This window comes from Homo sapiens, chromosome 13 (genome assembly GCF_000001405.40).
Source record: "Homo sapiens chromosome 13, GRCh38.p14 Primary Assembly".
Taxonomy (NCBI): Eukaryota; Metazoa; Chordata; class Mammalia; order Primates; family Hominidae; genus Homo; species Homo sapiens.
Window position 1 is genome coordinate 39,653,087 of NC_000013.11, and position 18,770 is coordinate 39,671,856.

The 18,770-nt window shown below is 35.4% G+C and overlaps 1 protein-coding gene and 1 non-coding gene across 5 annotated transcripts in view, besides 1 other annotated feature; one reads left to right on the top strand and one right to left on the bottom strand.

The window, feature by feature from the left end:
• The window catches only part of COG6 (component of oligomeric golgi complex 6), a 136,040-nt gene continuing 119,810 nt past the window's right edge, over nucleotides 2,541-18,770 (top strand). For 3 of the 4 annotated variants that reach the window (NM_001145079.2, XM_011535168.2, NM_020751.3), the window contains exons 1-4: nucleotides 2,576-2,793; nucleotides 6,278-6,421; nucleotides 7,724-7,795; nucleotides 12,010-12,068. In NM_001145079.2, the coding sequence (NP_001138551.1) occupies nucleotides 2,641-2,793; nucleotides 6,278-6,421; nucleotides 7,724-7,795; nucleotides 12,010-12,068 (428 nt within the window). In that variant the 5' untranslated portion in view covers nucleotides 2,576-2,640. Of the gene's footprint in view, nucleotides 2,794-3,739; nucleotides 3,805-6,277; nucleotides 6,422-7,723; nucleotides 7,796-12,009; nucleotides 12,069-18,770 lie in introns of all 4 variants that reach the window. The other variant, NR_026745.1, reaches the window with a different exon arrangement.
• Nucleotides 2,840-2,889: a silencer, noted in NCBI's record as "silent region_5278". NCBI's record gives its function as "represses an Ori minimal core promoter by ATAC-STARR-seq in GM12878 lymphoblastoid cells {active_cell/tissue: GM12878}" and the evidence as "EXISTENCE:reporter gene assay evidence [ECO:0000049][PMID:35858748]".
• On the bottom strand, nucleotides 10,948-11,049 carry MIR4305 (microRNA 4305). Its single transcript, NR_036190.1, has one exon. It is a non-coding gene; the product is annotated as a microRNA 4305 (primary transcript).

Consider the following 18,770-nt stretch of genomic DNA (forward strand, 5'->3'; position numbering starts at 1 on the left):
AACTATTTGACAGTTTCTCAAAACATTAAACATAGAGTTAACCATAAGAACAATCTACTCCTAGGTATCTTCCTAAGGAAAGTGAAAACATACATCCACACAAAAACTCTCACATGAAAATTCACAGAGACATTTTTCATAAAAGCCAAAAATTTGAAACTACCTAAATAGCCATCTGACGAATGAATAAAATATGGGAGATCCATACAATGGATTATTATTTGGCAATAATAGGGAATGAAACACTGATACAAGCTACAAAATAGATGAACCTTGAAAAATTATGCTAAGTGAAAGAAGTCAGGCATGAAATGTTACATATTGTATAATTCTGTTTATATGAAATGTCCAAACTGGCATATCTATAGAGACAGAGAGCAGATTTGTGGTTTCCTAGGGTGGTAGAGAGGGGAAAATGGGGAGTGCTAGTGGGTACAGTTTTCTTCTTAAAGTAATGAAAATGTCTTAAAATTAGATGATGGTGATATTTGCCAACTCTGTAAATGAACTAAAAGCTGTCATATTTTATACTTTTAATAGGTGAAGTTTATGGCCTGTAAATTATATCTAAATAAAGATTTTAAAAATTAATATAAATTTGTATTTTTTATTACTTAAACATTTTGTCTATTTATCTCCAATTTACTTTTTAAAATAAACAGCTTTATTTTTTTTTTTTCAATTTTAAGATAGGGCCTTGCTCCATCACCCAGGCTAGAGTAGAGGGCAGTGGCATGATTATGACTTACCGCAGGCTTGAGCTCAAGTGATACTCCCACCTCAACCTTCCAAGTAGCTGGGACCACAGGCATGCCACCACACTCGACTAGTTTTCGTATTTTTTTTTTTTTTTTTGTAGAGACAGGGTCTCGCTATGTTGCCCAGGCTGGTCTTTAACTCCTGAACTCGAGATCCCCCTGCCTAAGCCTCCCAAAGTGCTGGGAATACAGGTGTGAGCCACCATACCTGGCCTAAAAAACAGATTTGAGATGAAACTTGCATGCCATTCAATTCATTCATTTAAAGTGTACAGTTCAGTGTTTTTTAGTATATTTACAGAGTTGTGCAACCATCACCACAATTTAGCTTTAGAGTATTTTCATCTCCCCAAAAATTAACCTGTACCATGAACTGACACTCCCCATTCCCTCTTCCCAACACTCCTCTTCCCAGAACCACTCATCTACTTTCTATCTCTATTGATTTACCTATTTGGGAGATTTCACATAAAGAGGTCATACAATATGTGGTATTTCATGACCGCTCCTGACTTGGCATGTTATCATCGTCATTCCTTTTAATTGTACATATTTGCAAGCTCTACATTATATTATTGCTTTGTATATATGCAAATTCATTTGGATATATACACCTTAGGTAAACCTTTGATATTTTAATTTTGGTTACACTGAACTTAAATTTATCTGTGAAAGAGAAAAGACATCTTACAATATTGAGTCTTCCTGTTGAAGAGAACAATATATTTTTTCATTGATTTAAGTTTTATGTTCTCCCAGTAGCATTTTAAAGTTTTCTTCATCTAGGTTCTCTGTATTTTTTGTTGAATTCATACCTAGATATTGCTGCTTTTTGTATATTTTTTTCTTTTGGATAGTTGGGCCTTCTCTTCTTCATTAGAGTAGAGATGAGTGGTTTTGTCAGTGCTTTCTTTATGTGACCTCTGTAATAGGTAATTTTCCCTTAAGTCTGATATACAATATAACTATGTACATAGACATATATGAAACAAGGAAAATTTATGACAAGAGCCAAATAGTGTTTCTGACAAATAATTCACAGAAGCCCAGCGATTTTATTTTGATCCAAATTTTAAAAACTGAGAAAAGAAAGAAAAAAAGCAATGATGTTTGTTTTCCAGAGTTTCCCGGGAAGTTTTTTCAACTTGTTACATTTTTATCCATTACTTTACAGCTACATGGGCTCTGGTCCATTTGTGTCAGGGCCAAGTTCATCTTGTTTTGAGGCCTGTACACTTACACACTTTCTTCTGCCTGGGAATGATTTCTCCTCACATTCTGATTCTCCTTCAAATCTCAGTTTAAGTGTCAACTCCTCTCCAAACCTCCCTGAGTGAAGTGGGCCTTTCCCTCCATTTTCTTTCACTGTACTACTTCATCCCCTGAGCACTCATCACAACCTAATAACATCTATTAACAGCTTTGTCTGTTTCAGACACACAATGTAGATTCTCCAATGCCTACCAGAGTACCTGGCACATACTATGCCTTCAATAAATAATTTTCAAAAAAATGAATTCAGATAAGGCAAATGTAATTTAAACTTTCAGTTAACTTATATTGAATGTATATGCCAGGCACAAGTCATGGTGTATTTTACATACTACATTTGGTTGTCATCTAATTAGCTCTGAAGGTCGCAGATCCATAATTCCAAAGTCCTCTCTAATCCTATAAATTTTCTCCTTCTACCTGAGGGTCTTGTCCCGCCCCCCACATCTTCTCCGCCCCTCACGCTTCTGAGAGCCCAAGCAGGGTTACCCGGCGAAGACTTCCGGGGCCGATGCGCATGCGCGGCCGATTTGCACATGCGCAATACTCGCGCTGCCTCCGTGGTCCCTGCCTGGCTGAGGTGGCAGCAGGGGGCGGGACGCGCAGCGCTATGGCAGAGGGCAGCGGGGAAGTGGTCGCAGTGTCTGCGACCGGGGCTGCCAACGGCCTCAACAATGGGGCAGGCGGGACCTCGGCGACGACCTGCAACCCGCTGTCGCGCAAGCTGCATAAGATCCTGGAGACGCGGCTGGACAACGACAAGGTAACCGGGGCTGGCGGGGCCGGAGTCACAGGTTCCTGCGGGGCTGAGCCGGGCCAGGGGCGGCGTCTGTCAGGGACCCACCGCGGTCTCCCTCGTCCCGGCAGCAGAGGGACCGCGAGTGACCCCAGACCTGCGGGCTCCGCTGCTCTGCGGGCGCCGGGGGCGGTGAGAAGGGGGAGCCCCAGCAACCTCCGGAAAAGCGAAGGGGTTTCCTGGGTGTTCTCTCCACCTGAAAAGGTGCCTTCAAGGCTCTCTGGATGGGATTGGTGAACGGTGGTGCCTCGAGAAGTGTCCTCCAAACACCCCTGGAGGCGTTTGGCTGTGTGAGCTGGGAGAGTGGAGGAGAGCACAAGACTGGATATGAAACAGATGCAAAAGAGCAGATTCCAAGATAAGGTAGCGCAAATGGGGGTCGGGAGACCAAGAGAGCAGTGGTAGGGATAAGGGTGCATTTCCACGGACAAGTGACAACAATTGCAATAATTTGCAGCGCGAAAGAACTACCTTTGCCCGTGGCTGAAATGAACTCATATCTACTAGTTTTTGTTGAGCCAAGCGCTATGATTTGTGGGCTCAGGCTGTATTTCTTTAGAAGATAAACTGACAGCATGCTCTCACAAGTACCTCCTGAAACTTAAGTTGGACTTTACAGCTCCTCACATACCCAGCCATCTCTTCTGTCTCTGTGGGTCGCTAGGTAAATTGGTCATGACAGTGTAACATAAAGAAGAACATATGTCAAAGTTAGAGAGTTTTATAGGTGAATATGTAGGTAACTGAAAATAAGCTGTCGATAACAATTTGATTCCGATATGTAAAAAAATAACATTGCAATGTAATGAATAAGAAATTAGGGCTCTGGAGACTACCACTTATTAGATAGAACCACTAAATGTGTGCATCATGATTTGAGTAAGTCCCTTCACTAATCTCAGCTTCTGTTTAGGAATTAGGAATCCTGCTGTTAAGTTTCTCATGGTTGTTATTTGAGGACTCAGTGAGAGACTCCAGGTAAAGTCCTTTGCAAAGAGCCTGGCACTTACTCTTTCTTAACAAATATTAATTTTATCATAAAATTTATGAAGTGTTTAATGTGTCTCATATTGATATTTATTATATCATTTAAGACTGCTACTTGCTCTGATATAGATAACATGGCCTTCTTTTTTGGACAGAGTTTTGCTCTTTTTGCCCAAGCTGGAGTGCAATGGGCGCAGTCTCGGCTCACTGCAACCTCTGCCTCCCGGGTTCAAGCGATTCTCCTGCCTCAGCCTCCCAAGTAGCTGGGATTACAGGCATGTGCCACCACGCCTGGCTAATTTTGTATTTTTATTAGAGACGGGGTTTCTCCATGTTGGTCAGGCTGGTCTTGAACTCCTGACCTCAGGTGATCTGCCCGCCTCAGCCTCCCAAAGTGCTGGGATTACAAGGCGTGAACCACTGCGCCCGGCCACATAACCTTCTTTTTACCATGAGGAAAATAAAGCATGGAGAGAGTGCAGCTAGGTTGTCATATAACTAGTAACTGGTGGAACTGTAATTTGCATCTGAGTCTGTGATTTCATTCGTTCAACATTACTGATTACTTCTTTGAACCAGACCTTAGGACATTTCAAGGCTATAGTCTAAAGAAACTGCTTCACTTCATGGGTTTTTTTTTTCTGTACAGTAAGTATTTATAGTTGTAAACATATTTTTGCTTCCTCTGAAATATTAAATTGAATTTATATAAATAGTTTTACTGTTTTTGTCAATCCAGCCAATATTTCAAAATAACAAATAGAAACATGAAAGGGTAAGCCTACTAGAATATACAGTAGTGGAGGTGTAGAAATGTATATCTGCAGAATTTAGTGTACAATGGGGATGTCCTGGGCTTGGTTCTCTGCTCTCTCTTCCATTCATGTTTTCTCTGTAAGAAAAATCTTGTACTTTCATGGTTTTAAGTAGCAAAAAGCATGATTACTCTCAAATTTATAACTCTGTTTCTGACATCTACTGAGCTCCAGATTTGTAGAATTAGTTGTCTATACTATACCTCCAATTGGATACTGATTGACGTCATAGAACTTAACATGGGCGGAACTCTTGATTTTTCCCTAAACTGGTTCCGCTCTCACTAAAGAACGTCACCATTTACCCAGTCAAGCAAGAAGCATATGAATAATTTTGGATTCTTGTCACTTTTTTTTTTTTTTTTTTACATCTCCTGCAAATCCACAAACATATCTTATAGGTTCTACTTTGAAGAATATTTTTGGAATATCTTTTTTTTTTTTTTGAGACCAAGTCTCACTCTGTCGCCCAGGCTGGAGTCCAATGGAGAGAACATGGCCTTACTGTAGCCTTGATCTTGCTGGCTCAAGCGATCCTCCTGCCACAGCCTCCCAGGTAGCTGGGTCTACAGGCACATGCCACCATACCTGGCTAATTTTTTGATTTTTTTATAGAGATAGGGGTCTTACTATGTTATGCAGGCTGGTCTTGAACTGGCATCAAACTATCCTCCCAACTTGACCTCCCAAACTGCTGGGATTACAGGTGTAAGCCACCGTGCCATATTTTGGAATATCTCTTTTTCATTTGTACTACTGCCATCTTGGTCTAAGCCACTATCAAACCATACTGGGATTATTTTTGTTTTTTCTCTTACCTACCTCCTTTCTTGTACCCCTTTACCATTCATTTTCCTTACAAAGTTGGAATAAACTTTTATAAATATAAATCGTATTACATTACTCCCCTGCCTAAAATCGTAATAATTTCTCATAACTTCAGTCATAGTGGCCTTCCTTCTACCACTTTAGGGTCTTTGTACTCATTGTTTGCTCTGTCTGTGGAAGGCTTTGTCCCCATGACTGGCTGTTGCCTACACTGAGGCCTCAGTTCAAAGTCACCTCAGAGAGGCCTTCCCCTTTAAGTTTCTCCAAGTTCTACTTCCAGTTATTCAGTTTCTAGCCTGGAGGATTCCAGTACTTATTCTTAAATAGATCATTCCAGAGATAGTTAATGTGCACATTATATATGTGTCAACTAGGTATACACAAGTAAGTATGCATGTATATATTCCTTTTAAGTTTTTAACTGTTGGTATTACAACTGTTTCTATGCCTTGATGTTTCACTTAACATATCTCAAAGCTTATACTACGTAAGTGCATAAAGATTTTTTTTTTGTGAATGAGTATATCATAATTTATTTAACCAATCCCTTTTAGATGGACATTTATATTATTTCTAGTCTTTGCAATTCCCAACAATTCTGCAGTGAATAATCTTGTATATATAACACTATACACAAGTAAGTATACCCTTCTTGTGTTCTGGAAATAAGCATGCTTCAGTAATTTGAAGGTCATTCAATATTTTTCGGATTGGTTAATGAAAATAAATCATTTGAAAATGATTTCATTACATTTTGTCTTGAGATTTGAAACCATTTAAAAATTAGTTCCAGTAACTGTCTTCTGTTACCAATTGTATAGGAGATGTTAGAAGCTCTCAAGGCACTTTCAACCTTTTTTGTTGAAAATAGTCTGCGGACTCGAAGAAATTTACGTGGAGATATTGAACGTAAAAGTTTAGCCATCAATGAAGAATTTGTAAGCATTTTCAAGGAAGTGAAGGAGGTATGTAAACTCTTTTCATTTAGCATATATTGAGAACTTACTATTACGCCTGGCTCTGTGCTAAGTATTTTTTTGAATTAGGTTGATATGTTTGCTATTTGTATACTATGCCCAAATAGAAAGCTTAGCTAATTTCTCTTGCTGCATCTAGATCTTTATTTGTATTAATGTGATTTATGAATCTGTGACTTCCACAAATATTAATTCTTAGAAAGTTAACATTGTTCTAGAAGATTATCTTAGGAATTTTAGCTTTTTTAACAAAAAAATTAACATTTCCCTGAATGGCTTTCCAATAGAAATATCCCCTCATTGCATAAACCTCTCTTGGATAACAACTTCTCTACTGGAGATTAATTAGAATTGAGTTACTTTTACTATATCCTAAAATATGAAAATTTCAGATTAAGATCAGTAACTTCAATGTATTAATAATGATTCATCATACTTGAGAGTGTAGTCCACTCACCACAGAGTGAAAATAAATTTTATGTTATTATATCTTTATTATGTAATATTTTATTAGCTGTTTTAATACATTGTAATACTAATATATTTCTATGTGAGTTATGGAAGTGTTGCACATGGTTTCAATGAGTGTTCAATAAAAATAGGTTGTTTTTGACACCTTGGTAGGTTTTTATTGACTGAAGACTAATACTTTGGAAAGGATTTTTTTAAAAAAAATTACATTAGAGATGGACTCTTGCTATGTTGCCTGGGCTGGAGTGTAGTGGCTGTTCCCAGGTATGATCATAGTACACTACAGCATCGAACTCCTGGGCTCACGCAATTCTCCCACCTCAGTTTCCCAAGTAACTGGGACTACAGGTGCCTGCCACCATGCCTGGCTCTTTTAAACATCATTTCCTACTAAAAGGAACAATCTTACCAGTATCAGAAAGCAAAGATGCTATCTGAGACTATTGGATACATGTCAAAAGGACTTTGGAGCTAATGTGAAGAGGATTCTTCTACTGGCCAAACATAAGACTATTTGAACATCAATAAGAGTAACTGCAATTGAATAACACTAGCAATAAAGGGATATTCAGTTTTATAAAGCATTTGCTGTTTTCCTGCGGTCATATTCTCTAAAAGGAATGGACTATTTTCTTTACATTTTTTCTAACACTAGATGTTATTCTTTTTAATCATTTCCAATTTTAAATATGGGATCTCTTGTCATGCCTTGACCAAAAAAATAAAAAATTATGTAACTAAAATAAGGATTTAGCTAACAGAAGAGAATCTTCTTCTTGCTGTATATATGATGTTTGATGTTACTTTTCTTCTTTTCAGGAACTTGAAAGCATAAGCGAAGATGTTCAAGCAATGAGCAACTGTTGTCAAGATATGACAAGTCGCCTACAGGTATTATATAATGGCTAGATTTTGGCATAGTTCCTGATATAAACTTACAAAAATTATTATTGACAAAATGTGTAGATATCTAATCCATAATGCCCTGTAGGAAATTTGGGTATAAATATAATCCTTATTTTTAAAAATTGTAGCTATCTTTGTGTTTCTTTGGATAATGATTTATTAATATTGTTCAATTAACTTTAGAGCATTTATATTTTGGTCTAGCCAGTACAGAGCTAACTACGTAGAATTTTGATAAACCTTTCAATTCCGTAATATTCTAGAAATCTAGGAGTAATGATTTTTTTTAGTAAGAAGCCTTAGGAATAATTTCACACTAAAGCTGTGCCTGATAAAGACCTAGCTTAATTCTGATTTATGCATAACCTTAAAAAATTCTGGGAAAATATGTATACTTTTAGGTCTTTTAATGAAAGCAGTCCTAAACTTATAGTTTGGTAGCAGAATCAGCATTTGACTTAATTAACCTCATTCATCTAATTTTGGAATAGTACATAGAACGGTTTCCTCCTAAGGGCCAATCATGATTATGTCTACTGCCTTCACATTTTAACAGCGAATTTATATCTCTAAGTGTCTCTTGGAACGATTGACATCAACAGTGATTCTAGGAAGAATCATTAATGCATATTCTACAGATTAATCACAGGCTACTTGCATCATCAGTTTGCAGGATGAGTTAATTTCTTGTTTCTCTAAAATTTTATCTTTTCTGGTCTTGTCTAAATTTTGATATTCTTACTAATCTATCAGATATTATTGGCATGTTTATTGTCTCTTAGTCCAATATTTAGATATTTGTTAATTTGACAATATTTAAATAATTATATAATATATACTAATTATTAATGGCCATTTCACATTTTTGGCATATATTTACTTTATTCCTCAGTGGTTGATTTTGTTTGACCCTTCTTTTTCTTTAACTTTATTTCCTTTTCTCCTCTTTTAGCTTCCATGACGTAATGCCTTTTCTCAAATTATACTTTATAAGGTTTTCTATATTGTACTTTTGTGTTTTTTAAATAACATTATGCTTTGTTATATTAGACTACTCAGTTTCTGATCTTTAGTGATAGTATCTCTTATTTTTTAATTTGTATCCTTAATTATGTTTTTATACTTTTCATCATAGAGAGATTTAAATATAAAAAGATCATAGTATTTTTATTTGTGCTATTTTTCAAACAGTTTATAAATATTTTAAATTACAACCAAAGTGTCTCTTTCTGTTTTGTCCTTTGTATTTTTTTTTTTTTTTTTTGAGACAGAGTCTCGCTGTATCCTTAGTGGCGTGATCTCGGCTCATAGCAACTTCCACCTTCTGAGTTCAAACAATTCTGCCTCAGCCTCCCAAGTAGCTAGGATTACAGGCGCCTGACACCATGCCTGGCTGATTTTTGTGTTTTTAGTAGACACAGGATTTCGCCAGGTTGTCCAGGGTGGTCTCGAACTCCTGACCTCAAGTGATTCACCTACCTCGGCCTTCCAAAGTGCTGGGATTACAGACATGAGCCACCATGCCCGGCCAGTCCTTTATATTTTCTTTGCACCCACCTCACATCCTGTTTTTTCTTCTGCAGTGGCATGGGCCTATTTTCTTTCTTTATTCAGATCAACTTTATTGAGGAATAATTTATGAATGGTAATAAACTGCATCCATTCAAAGTGTTCAAATTGATAGGCTTGGCATTTTTATATGCCTGTGAAACAACAACTATAATCAAGATACAGAACATTTTTATCACATATAAAAGATTGCCTCATAGCTTTCTGATTGAATATTTAAAAATATTTAATACTGCCTATTGTTTACATTTGTTTTTGATCCACATATCATTTTTAATAGTAGGAGGTCCATGATTTTGAAAGTTTTGTTTATTCCTTAAAATTTTGCTTAAAGCTAATTTATTTGGATATAGCACTATTGGAATTCTAATAGTATACATTCATAATATCAACTCTAATGTTTTTAAGTTATTCATAAAGAAAAGTGTTTCTTAGAGTATCCTCACTTTCCCTTTTTCTTATAGAATGTTGTTATAATGATTCATTTAATTATTTAATATTTTCTGAAATGCTTTGACTATGGTACCTTTTAGAAATTATTAGAAAACATTTAAAAATGTAATCAGTCATTTTATATATGTTAATATTTATTCCTTTGTGGTTTTCCTTGCATATGTTTAAATAATAAACATGCATTTAGATGCATATGTTTATTATTAACTCAAAAATAATCATCTTTAACATTTAAGATAAATGGAGATTGAGGTTAATCTTCATTAATATTATTAAATATTACTTTGGAATTCTTACCATAGTTTATAAATGAAAAAATCAGGAAATATGCAAAAAAATTAGCAAATTCTTATTATATAACATTGTGCTAAATTATCATATTTCATTGATTAATAAATGGTGTTGATTGTAAGGTGCACCCTCAATAACGACTAGCCTAAAAAGCTAGTAAAGGTTTTTTGATGTTGATTTTGTGAAGCATTCTTTTTTTCAGAAATATTAAAATGTAAACATATCTTTGACTTGAGGGGATACTATATTTTAAAAATTGCACAAGGCAAGACTGTACAAGGGTGGAAATGGAACTTTAGCATTTAAGAAGTATGAGCATTTGAAGAACTTATTGGCAGTCTAATAATTCTAAAAGAATATTTTGGGAGCTATCATGTTGAGCTCCATTCCTTAAAAGTCAGTGAAATGGCTGGGCGTGGTGGCTCACACCTGTAATCTCAGCATTTTGGGAGGCTGAGGCAGAATGATCCTTTGTGACCAGCCTGGGCAACATAGCAAGACCCCATCTCTACCAAAAACTTTTAATAAGTTAGCCAGGCATGGTGGCACATGCCTATAGTCCCAGCTATTCTAGAGGCTTAGGTGGGAGGATTGCTTGGGCCCAGGAGGTCAAGGCTGCAGTGACTCAAGATTGCACCACCATACTCCAGGCTGGGTGACAGAGTGAGACCCTGCCTCTTTAAAAAAAAAAAAAAAAGATAAGGGATATGCAAAATTATCTAGGTTCAAATTGTTTTCTTAAAAAATCTATTTCCTGGGAACATACACTCAAAATAGCTTCATTTGAGGTGGCAATCAGGCTCTGTTATTGACAGCATACCTAGAAAGCAATAAGACAGAGAATTTCCCTCACAGTCTGAAAACTGAGTTTGTAGAGGATTAGGCCTCTAAGAACCCAGAACTGGAGGTGTCTAGGTCTAAGGCAGCTCTAGAAAGAAACCGCAGTAGCAGAAGCTTGACTCTTTATTGTGGTATTCCAACATGAAAATGACCCAGTGTCTTCAGGTGTTTGCTCTGGTATTTTCTCTTTAACAGACTGATTCACCTTCTATTTTATGTGTTTTTCTCCACTTTACTAATGACTTAATTTATGCATCTTTCTGGCTCATTTAATATTTCTTCAAGGCACAGACCTTGTTTCTCTACGTGCCTCATGACTACTTCTCTTCTTATTGTTTATTGCCTTATTTTTGTAAATATTCCCTAGTTCAGATATTTGAGAGAGAATCTCATTGTCTTTTGTTTAAAGCCACTTCATGAATGTTTTCTAATCTTGGATAAGATGCTTTTTTAATTGACTTTCCACTTTTGATCAACTCTGGCTTAGGGAAGGGAGAATTGCTTAGAATGAAAGTTGATTAGGAACAGCCTTGTGTCCTTTAGATGGGGCTAGCTCTGATCCTCACCAAAAACTTATATGGCAGGTAGTTTGTATATTACAACTTTCAAACTTTTACCTCCATCTTATACATTTCTATTGAGCTCCACACTAGCATTTCAGTGACTTAGTTAACAACCCCATGTAAAGGTTGCATGGTATCTCAGTTCAACACGTCCATACCTGAAGTCATGTTCTTCATTCTTAACTTGTTTTTCCAGTGCTTCTGTTGCACTAAAAAGCATCATGAACTATTAAGTTCCTTTGTCAGTATCTGGATACCTTTTTCTTTCTTGTAAGCCTTAGCATTATGTGTATATTAAGAACTGAGTGTGTTCCTCCAGTGGATGAGCCTTGAAACATCTACGTATTTCATTTTATTGTGCTTTTGAGTTCCATAGAGTGATCTCATTTGTTTTAAGTCTAAATTGCAGTAAGTGGTAGTATTTGTTTTCTGAAATATAATAAAATTGGAATTTACTTATATTAGATATGTTTATAATTTTAGGCAGCAAAGGAACAGACTCAAGATTTAATAGTAAAAACCACTAAGCTTCAATCTGAAAGGTAAGTTTTTCTTCATACAACCACCTTTTCAATAATTTGGAGATTGGAGTCAAAGAAAATTATATATAACTCCAAATCAGAATTAAAGCAGAATAATAAAAAACATGGTTCATAAGGTCCTAAACTATTATATTACCCAATAGTAACTTAAGCATAAAGACAGTAGTTTAGGAGCAATAAACTTGACATTGAGGTTGAGAGATTATTCCTTCTTTGGAAGAGAGGTGATGATGTATCGTTATTGTTTGCTGTGGAGTTCAGAAATGATGCTTTTTAAAATGTAAATGTTTTCAGATTTTTAATAGTTTTATTACTTTTTTTTCACAATCATTGTCTTTTATTTTTAAGCTATGATATATCCTCTCTGGTATAATTAAGAGTTAATTGTATAAATTCTCCTTGTAGTTTATACAATAGGTATACTATTGGTTGATTGAATGAATGAGTGAGTGAGTGAATAAAGGTGAGTACAGTCTGGATTTGTGTAATGTGTGGTGTTCAGTATTGCTAAAACTCATAGCAATTATGCTAAAACTCATTAACTGCATCTCTCATGTGTGGAGTAGTATAGGGGGGGAGAAGCATTATATTATGATGCAGTATACTTGTCTCCTGCTCAGTAGTTGGGTACATCACTTAAACCTTTTAGTATTCTAGGTATTTCATCAGTAATATGGAGATATTACCACTTTAACTGCTGATTTTGGGGTAGGTCAGTATACTATAGTATAGACCACAGGTTATCAAACTATGGCCACAGGCCAAATCCAGCTCAACACCTGCTTTTGTAAATGCAGCTTTATTGGAACACAGCTATGGTTGTGTTTACATACTGTCTATGGCTGCTTTTACCCTACTGCAGTAGAGTCGTGTGGTTACAACAGAGACCATATGTGGCCTACAAAGCCTAAAATATGTACTATCAAGATTTTTACAGAAAAAGTCTGTGACTTCTGATCCAACTAGTGTTTTTTTGTAGTTCAGGTCAAGATCAATGGGTTGTAAATTATGATTTATCAATCATTACTACTATTTAAATCGATCATAGCTAGCCTTAAAAAATAAATTAGAATGAAATAAAATAGAAAATAGTTTGGGTAGCTGGGCATGGTGGTGCACACCTGAAGTCCCAGCTATTCTGGAGGTTGAGGTGGGAAGATCATTTGAGCCCAGGAGTTCAAGGTTGCAGTGGGCTATGATAGTGCCACTGCACTCCAGCCTGGGTGACAGAAGGAGATCCTGTCTCTAAAAAATAAATAAGTAAAAATAGTTTGAGTGAATATTATTTTGTGAAGCCTTTCTTTCAGTTTCAGTAATGGTTTTAAATGGTTTAATATTATGGGTCATAATCAAGAGTTTGAAAAACACTGCCCTAGACCAAAAATGGCAAGTACATGACCCCCAACTCCTTAGTTTTACATCCACTGATCTTGACATTCTTTTATTTTGAGCCCTTAATCCTTCTTAACACAATTCTCTTCAGACTAAGATTGATGAATGGGAAATTATAAAGAGTGCAGAGGTGTAAAGTTACTTGTGTAAAAGGATATCATGGGTCTTAGGGCTACAAAGGACTCAGAGATCAACTGGAATGATCCATTGCAGTTAAAATGGTAACCAATGTAACTTACTTTTCTGTCTTATAAAAACATTGAGAAAATGTGACAAAATTAGCAAAATAAAATATATGTACCAATATCATCTAAAAAATACTATCTTTAATAGCACAAAACAAAGAAAACATTTTCTTTACACGTATAGGAAGTACATTATTGGATATTGGAACATGTACCTTATCTTAGACCTGTGGCTTTCAAACCATAGTTCATTGAACCTCAGGGTTTCTTTGCAAGACGTAGAAGGATAATGGAGTTTTGGAGGTCAGATTCTCTCACCCTAATTTTAGTGAGAGCAGTTTCACTTTTACTTGTTTAATATATTAGGATTCCATGTAAGATTTTGTTTGAAAAAAGAGTTTGACAGCAGGAAAATATAAAAATATTGCACAATTTTAAGACTAGTTGAAAGGTAGAATACCAAATAAAATAGTCTTTTGATTTTATTCCTCATGCCAGAGAAAAATCTTTAAAAACAACTAAGTATCAAAGCTTTATAAAAGCTTAATCATAATTTCATGCATTTAATCCCCTTTTTGTTTACTAACTACCTTCTCTTTCACTAAAAATCCACTTTTACCCGTTGTGTGTTTTCTACAAGCCAAAATGAGAGCAAGTTGATGTTGTCCTCAGATTTATAGAATTGCAAATTGCCTGGATAGAAATTAAATTTAGGAAGTCTGGCCTTAAATTCCCTTTTATCTTGTTGATATTGTCATTCTGTATTTTATAGCTGGATAAATGATCATATCCCCCACATTGGTGGTTAATTACTTGATGTTGACCTATAAGTCAGTTTTCTAGTACTTTTCAGAGCATCTTCAATCCAATCCTTTTGTGTTTAACATTTAATCAAAGACTTTAGTGTATATATAGACAACTTACTTGGAAAATTGTGAATGACACAAAGTATGGAATGTTAAGTGTAAGGTATCAACAGAATCAAGCTTTTAAGAAAAAGTGGGGCTGGGCAAGAGGTGAATAGGATGATAAAGGGTCTCAAAAAATGATGTAGGGTTGAAAAAAACAGAATTGTTTATTTAGAAGTATAGGACTAAGAAGGACATGATGGCTGTCTTCAAATATTTGATGATCTTTCCTGTTTTAAAAAAGGCTAAATTTTATTATATATTGCTGCTGAGTTTGGAACTGAGTTTTAAAGGAGAAATTTAGGCAAATTTTGACTTAACGATAAGCAAGAATTTTCTATCCCTTACAATTTGAACAATTCTTCAAAGCTTTTTTTTTAAAATCACTGGAAATATTTAGTCTTATGTTAGGTGTCATTGGAGCCATCTTTTATTTCAGTTTTCCTTTCTGGTCTTTTACATTACGATTCATGTATCCACACCTTATCACAGTAAACATAAGAGCCACCAAGGAGCTTGATAAAATGGCAAGTTTTGGCCTCCATCCTCAGAGAATCTGACTGAAAAAAGTAAGCAACTGTGTTTTTTTGATTAATGACTCAGTAAATCTTGATTTGGGCTCAGGATTCGGCCCTTTTAACAATATCCCAGGTATTTTTATGCAGTGGTCCAGAGACTATAATTTGAAACACCTGGCCTTAGACAAAATATTACTTATATTTTTAATTTTTTGTGGAATGTCCCTCTCCCCTACCTTAATTCTCTCATCTCCTAACTGGTAAACTTTGAAAAAACATTTTAACTTTTTAAATGTTAAACTTTATATTTTGAGATAATTATAGATTCACATGCAGTTGTAAGAAACAAGGCCGGGCGCCGTAGCTCACACCTGTAATCCCAGCACTTTGGGAGGCCGAGGTGGGCGGATCACGAGGTCAGGAGATCGAGACCATCCTGGCTAATGCGGTGAAACCCCATCTCTATTAAAAATACAAAAAATTAGCCGGGCGTGGTGGCGGGCACCTGTAGTCCCAGCTACTCAGGAGGCTGAGGCAGGAGAATGGCATGAACCAGGGAGGCAGAGCTTGCAGTGAGCTGAGAACGCGCCACTGCACTCCAGCCTGGGCGACAGAGCGAGACTCCGTCTCAAAAAAAAAAAAAAAGAAAAGAAAAGAAACAATACAGAGATCCAAGGTAGCCTTTACCTTGTTTCTGCCAAAGGTAACATTTTACAGAACTATAGTATGGTACCACAACTAGGATAATGACCTTGATACTATCTACCTGTCTTATTCAGATTTTGCAGTTTTACTCGTTGGTGTATTTATTTTTATACATTTTATCATTTGTAGATTCCTGAATGCGCCACCATAGTCACGATATAGTACACAGTTCCATCACCACAAATAGTGTCCTGTTGGTGGGTGGACAGTGTGAGAAAAGTTGCAGACTAAGCCCATGTGGGAGATGGTTGACTCTGCAAAGCAGCCAGCTCTGTGAGGAAAGGCAGTGTTAAATTTCTTTATCAGAATTAAGCCTGTGCCTTCACCATAAAATTAGATTGCATTTTATAACAGTTCTTTTGAAAGAAAAGTTTCCTAGAAAAACACATTCCCTGTTAGAGACCTTGACATTAATTTTTCTCTAAGTTAATGCTGAACACAAAAACAAGCATTACTTTAATTGAAAATTGTGATTAAAACTAAGAGGATAACAGATCAATAATCCTGTATGCAAAGCCTTTTTAAACTTTTCCTGTTCTCAGTTAAATCTTTTTGTTTTAATTTTTAGTGTAATAGGTATTACAGTTGTTTGCAACTAATCGTTGATTTGATTGTCTCTGTTTCTCCTAAACTGTGAGCTCCTTGAGAAAAATGACAATTTCTTATTCTCCTTTTTGTATTTGCAGTGCCTGCTATTTTACAGATTCAATAAATAATTTTTGAGTAAATGAATATGGAAAGCAACTATAATGTTAGGAAAGGAACATAAAACTGAAAAATAAGCATTGTATTGGAGCTTGTAATATGGGGCTCTAAATAATGTATATAGGAGACAATATTAGAACATTGTGCTTCTGTTCATGTGTTCTCAAAACTATTTAAGCAAGGTTTATGTTTATTATTTTAGTAAGCCTGTGGAAGTGTTTTGGCCTGATATGCTTTTGGGAAGTGAAAATTTATGACATTCTGGTATCCCAAGAGCTATAGATATGATGTGCCAAGTGAACGTTTGTGTGAATGTATTTTAGGAAAATTGCAAGGCAGAAATTATGATAACAGGTCTCTGGGGGCTGGCAGGGAGTTGTTTTTTCATTTTAAAATATCTTTTTAACAAGAAACTTTGTTAAACAAGCAGTTAGCTTTAGAAATAGAAATCTGTTTCTATATGGGATTATTTGAATAATACGATACTTTTATTCAGACAAATGTATGAATGATATGAATATTTTTCCAACTGAGTGAGAAGGAAGTCAGTCGTCAGGACAGCTGAGATGCTCTAATAGATAAAGCTTAATGTAGAATTTTATTCACAGGACTGCAGGTTAGCATTTCCCCTTAATAGTTCATTGGTAGTCAGACGATGGGCTTCACTGATAATCAGGAAAGACTATATGTACATGAACATACCTTTGTATTTTTAAAATACTACTAAAATCACTATTATATTTTTATTATCTCTTATAAAGGCCCACCAGCCAGAATTCTCTCTGGACTCAGAAAAATAATCTCTGGAGAATGTTTATGTGTGTGTATTTTTTTAAGTTCAGTATGTTAAAATGGAAAGAATATAGGACTTAAGACAAAAATCTGAATCTTAATCGAAACCTTGGGTAAGAGATTATTAGATTTTTGATTTTGTACAGTTATTTCTTAACCTCCCTTAACCTAAGTTTCTATGTCTGAAAGAAGGAAGGGGAAAATATCTATGTCATGGGGTTTTTGAGATAACTAAATTATTTACGTAAGTTGCTGAAGACACTGCATGGCATACATTAAAGACTGTTGCCCCTCCCTAGTCCTCCCCTTTTATTAGACAAAGAAATCTATGTCACTCATCTTATTTCTATTTTTGCTCTGTCATCTAGGAAGCTTAGAGCTATTTTGTGCTTAATTGCAATAGCTTTCCTCAGATGTATGATTTACTTTCTCAGCCTTTCCCTTTATTTCTTACTATTTTAGTTTTTAATAGTTTTAATTTATTTTTATTGCATTGTAAACTACTTTAACTCAGGTTTTGAAATTGGTAGCATAAAAATATAAAACTTTATCTTGCATAAATGGTTTTATATTGCATGTAAAAGTATATTACAGAAGCGTATGTGGCACATTTTCTTTCATTACCTAATAAAAGGTTAGGGGAAAACAGGGGAGCATCACATCTCCTTTCTTCTTTCTTCTTGTCTCATTTGTACATAGTAGCAGCTATCCAAAAGGAAATATTGCCAGTGACATGCAGGAGCCTGACTGAGATAAGCTATAACAACTTTATTTCAGTCACACATATTGGACTGGAAATAAAAATTTGGGGGTAAGGCACAGTATGGCTTATCCATTTCTTGTGATTATGATCATGCTGTAAGGGAAATAGTATGAGGAAAAATTTAGAAATAATCTTTGGTTTAAGTATTTTAAAAGTTGGGTTTGGAGATGGTATGGATTTTTTTAAATGAAAATTTTGTCTGATCAAATTTTCCCCACCAATGAAAAAGAGCTTTTTTTTGCGTAACATTTTTTCCCCACCAATACAAAAGAGCTTTTTTTTTTCTTCCTTTTTTTTTGTGGGCACGCTTCATTTAAAGTGGCTATTGCTGTTTATTTCCTGATTTAACTACATTTATCAACCAGGTAGACTTTTTCTATATTCTTATTCATTCTACCTGGAATTCCATTTCCCAAAATTAATTTGTTGAAAACTCATTTGTCATTTTAGGTTCCCTGTTGTTTATGCCCATCATATATTTCAAAATATTTTACAAAACTTAAGAATTTTAGGCTATCATGTATGTGTATGTTTGTGTCACACATGCATGTACATGTTCCTTGAGAATGTATATATGTATGTACCTATATATGTTTCAAAGAAAGTCTTGCTTACTTTAAAAAATACTTCAGCTTATAGGAAATTTATTTCACCTTTGTACTTTACAGTTTTATTATATATTTTCCATGTTCAGCCAGGAACCTTTACTCAGTCACCAGAAAAAAAAATAATTA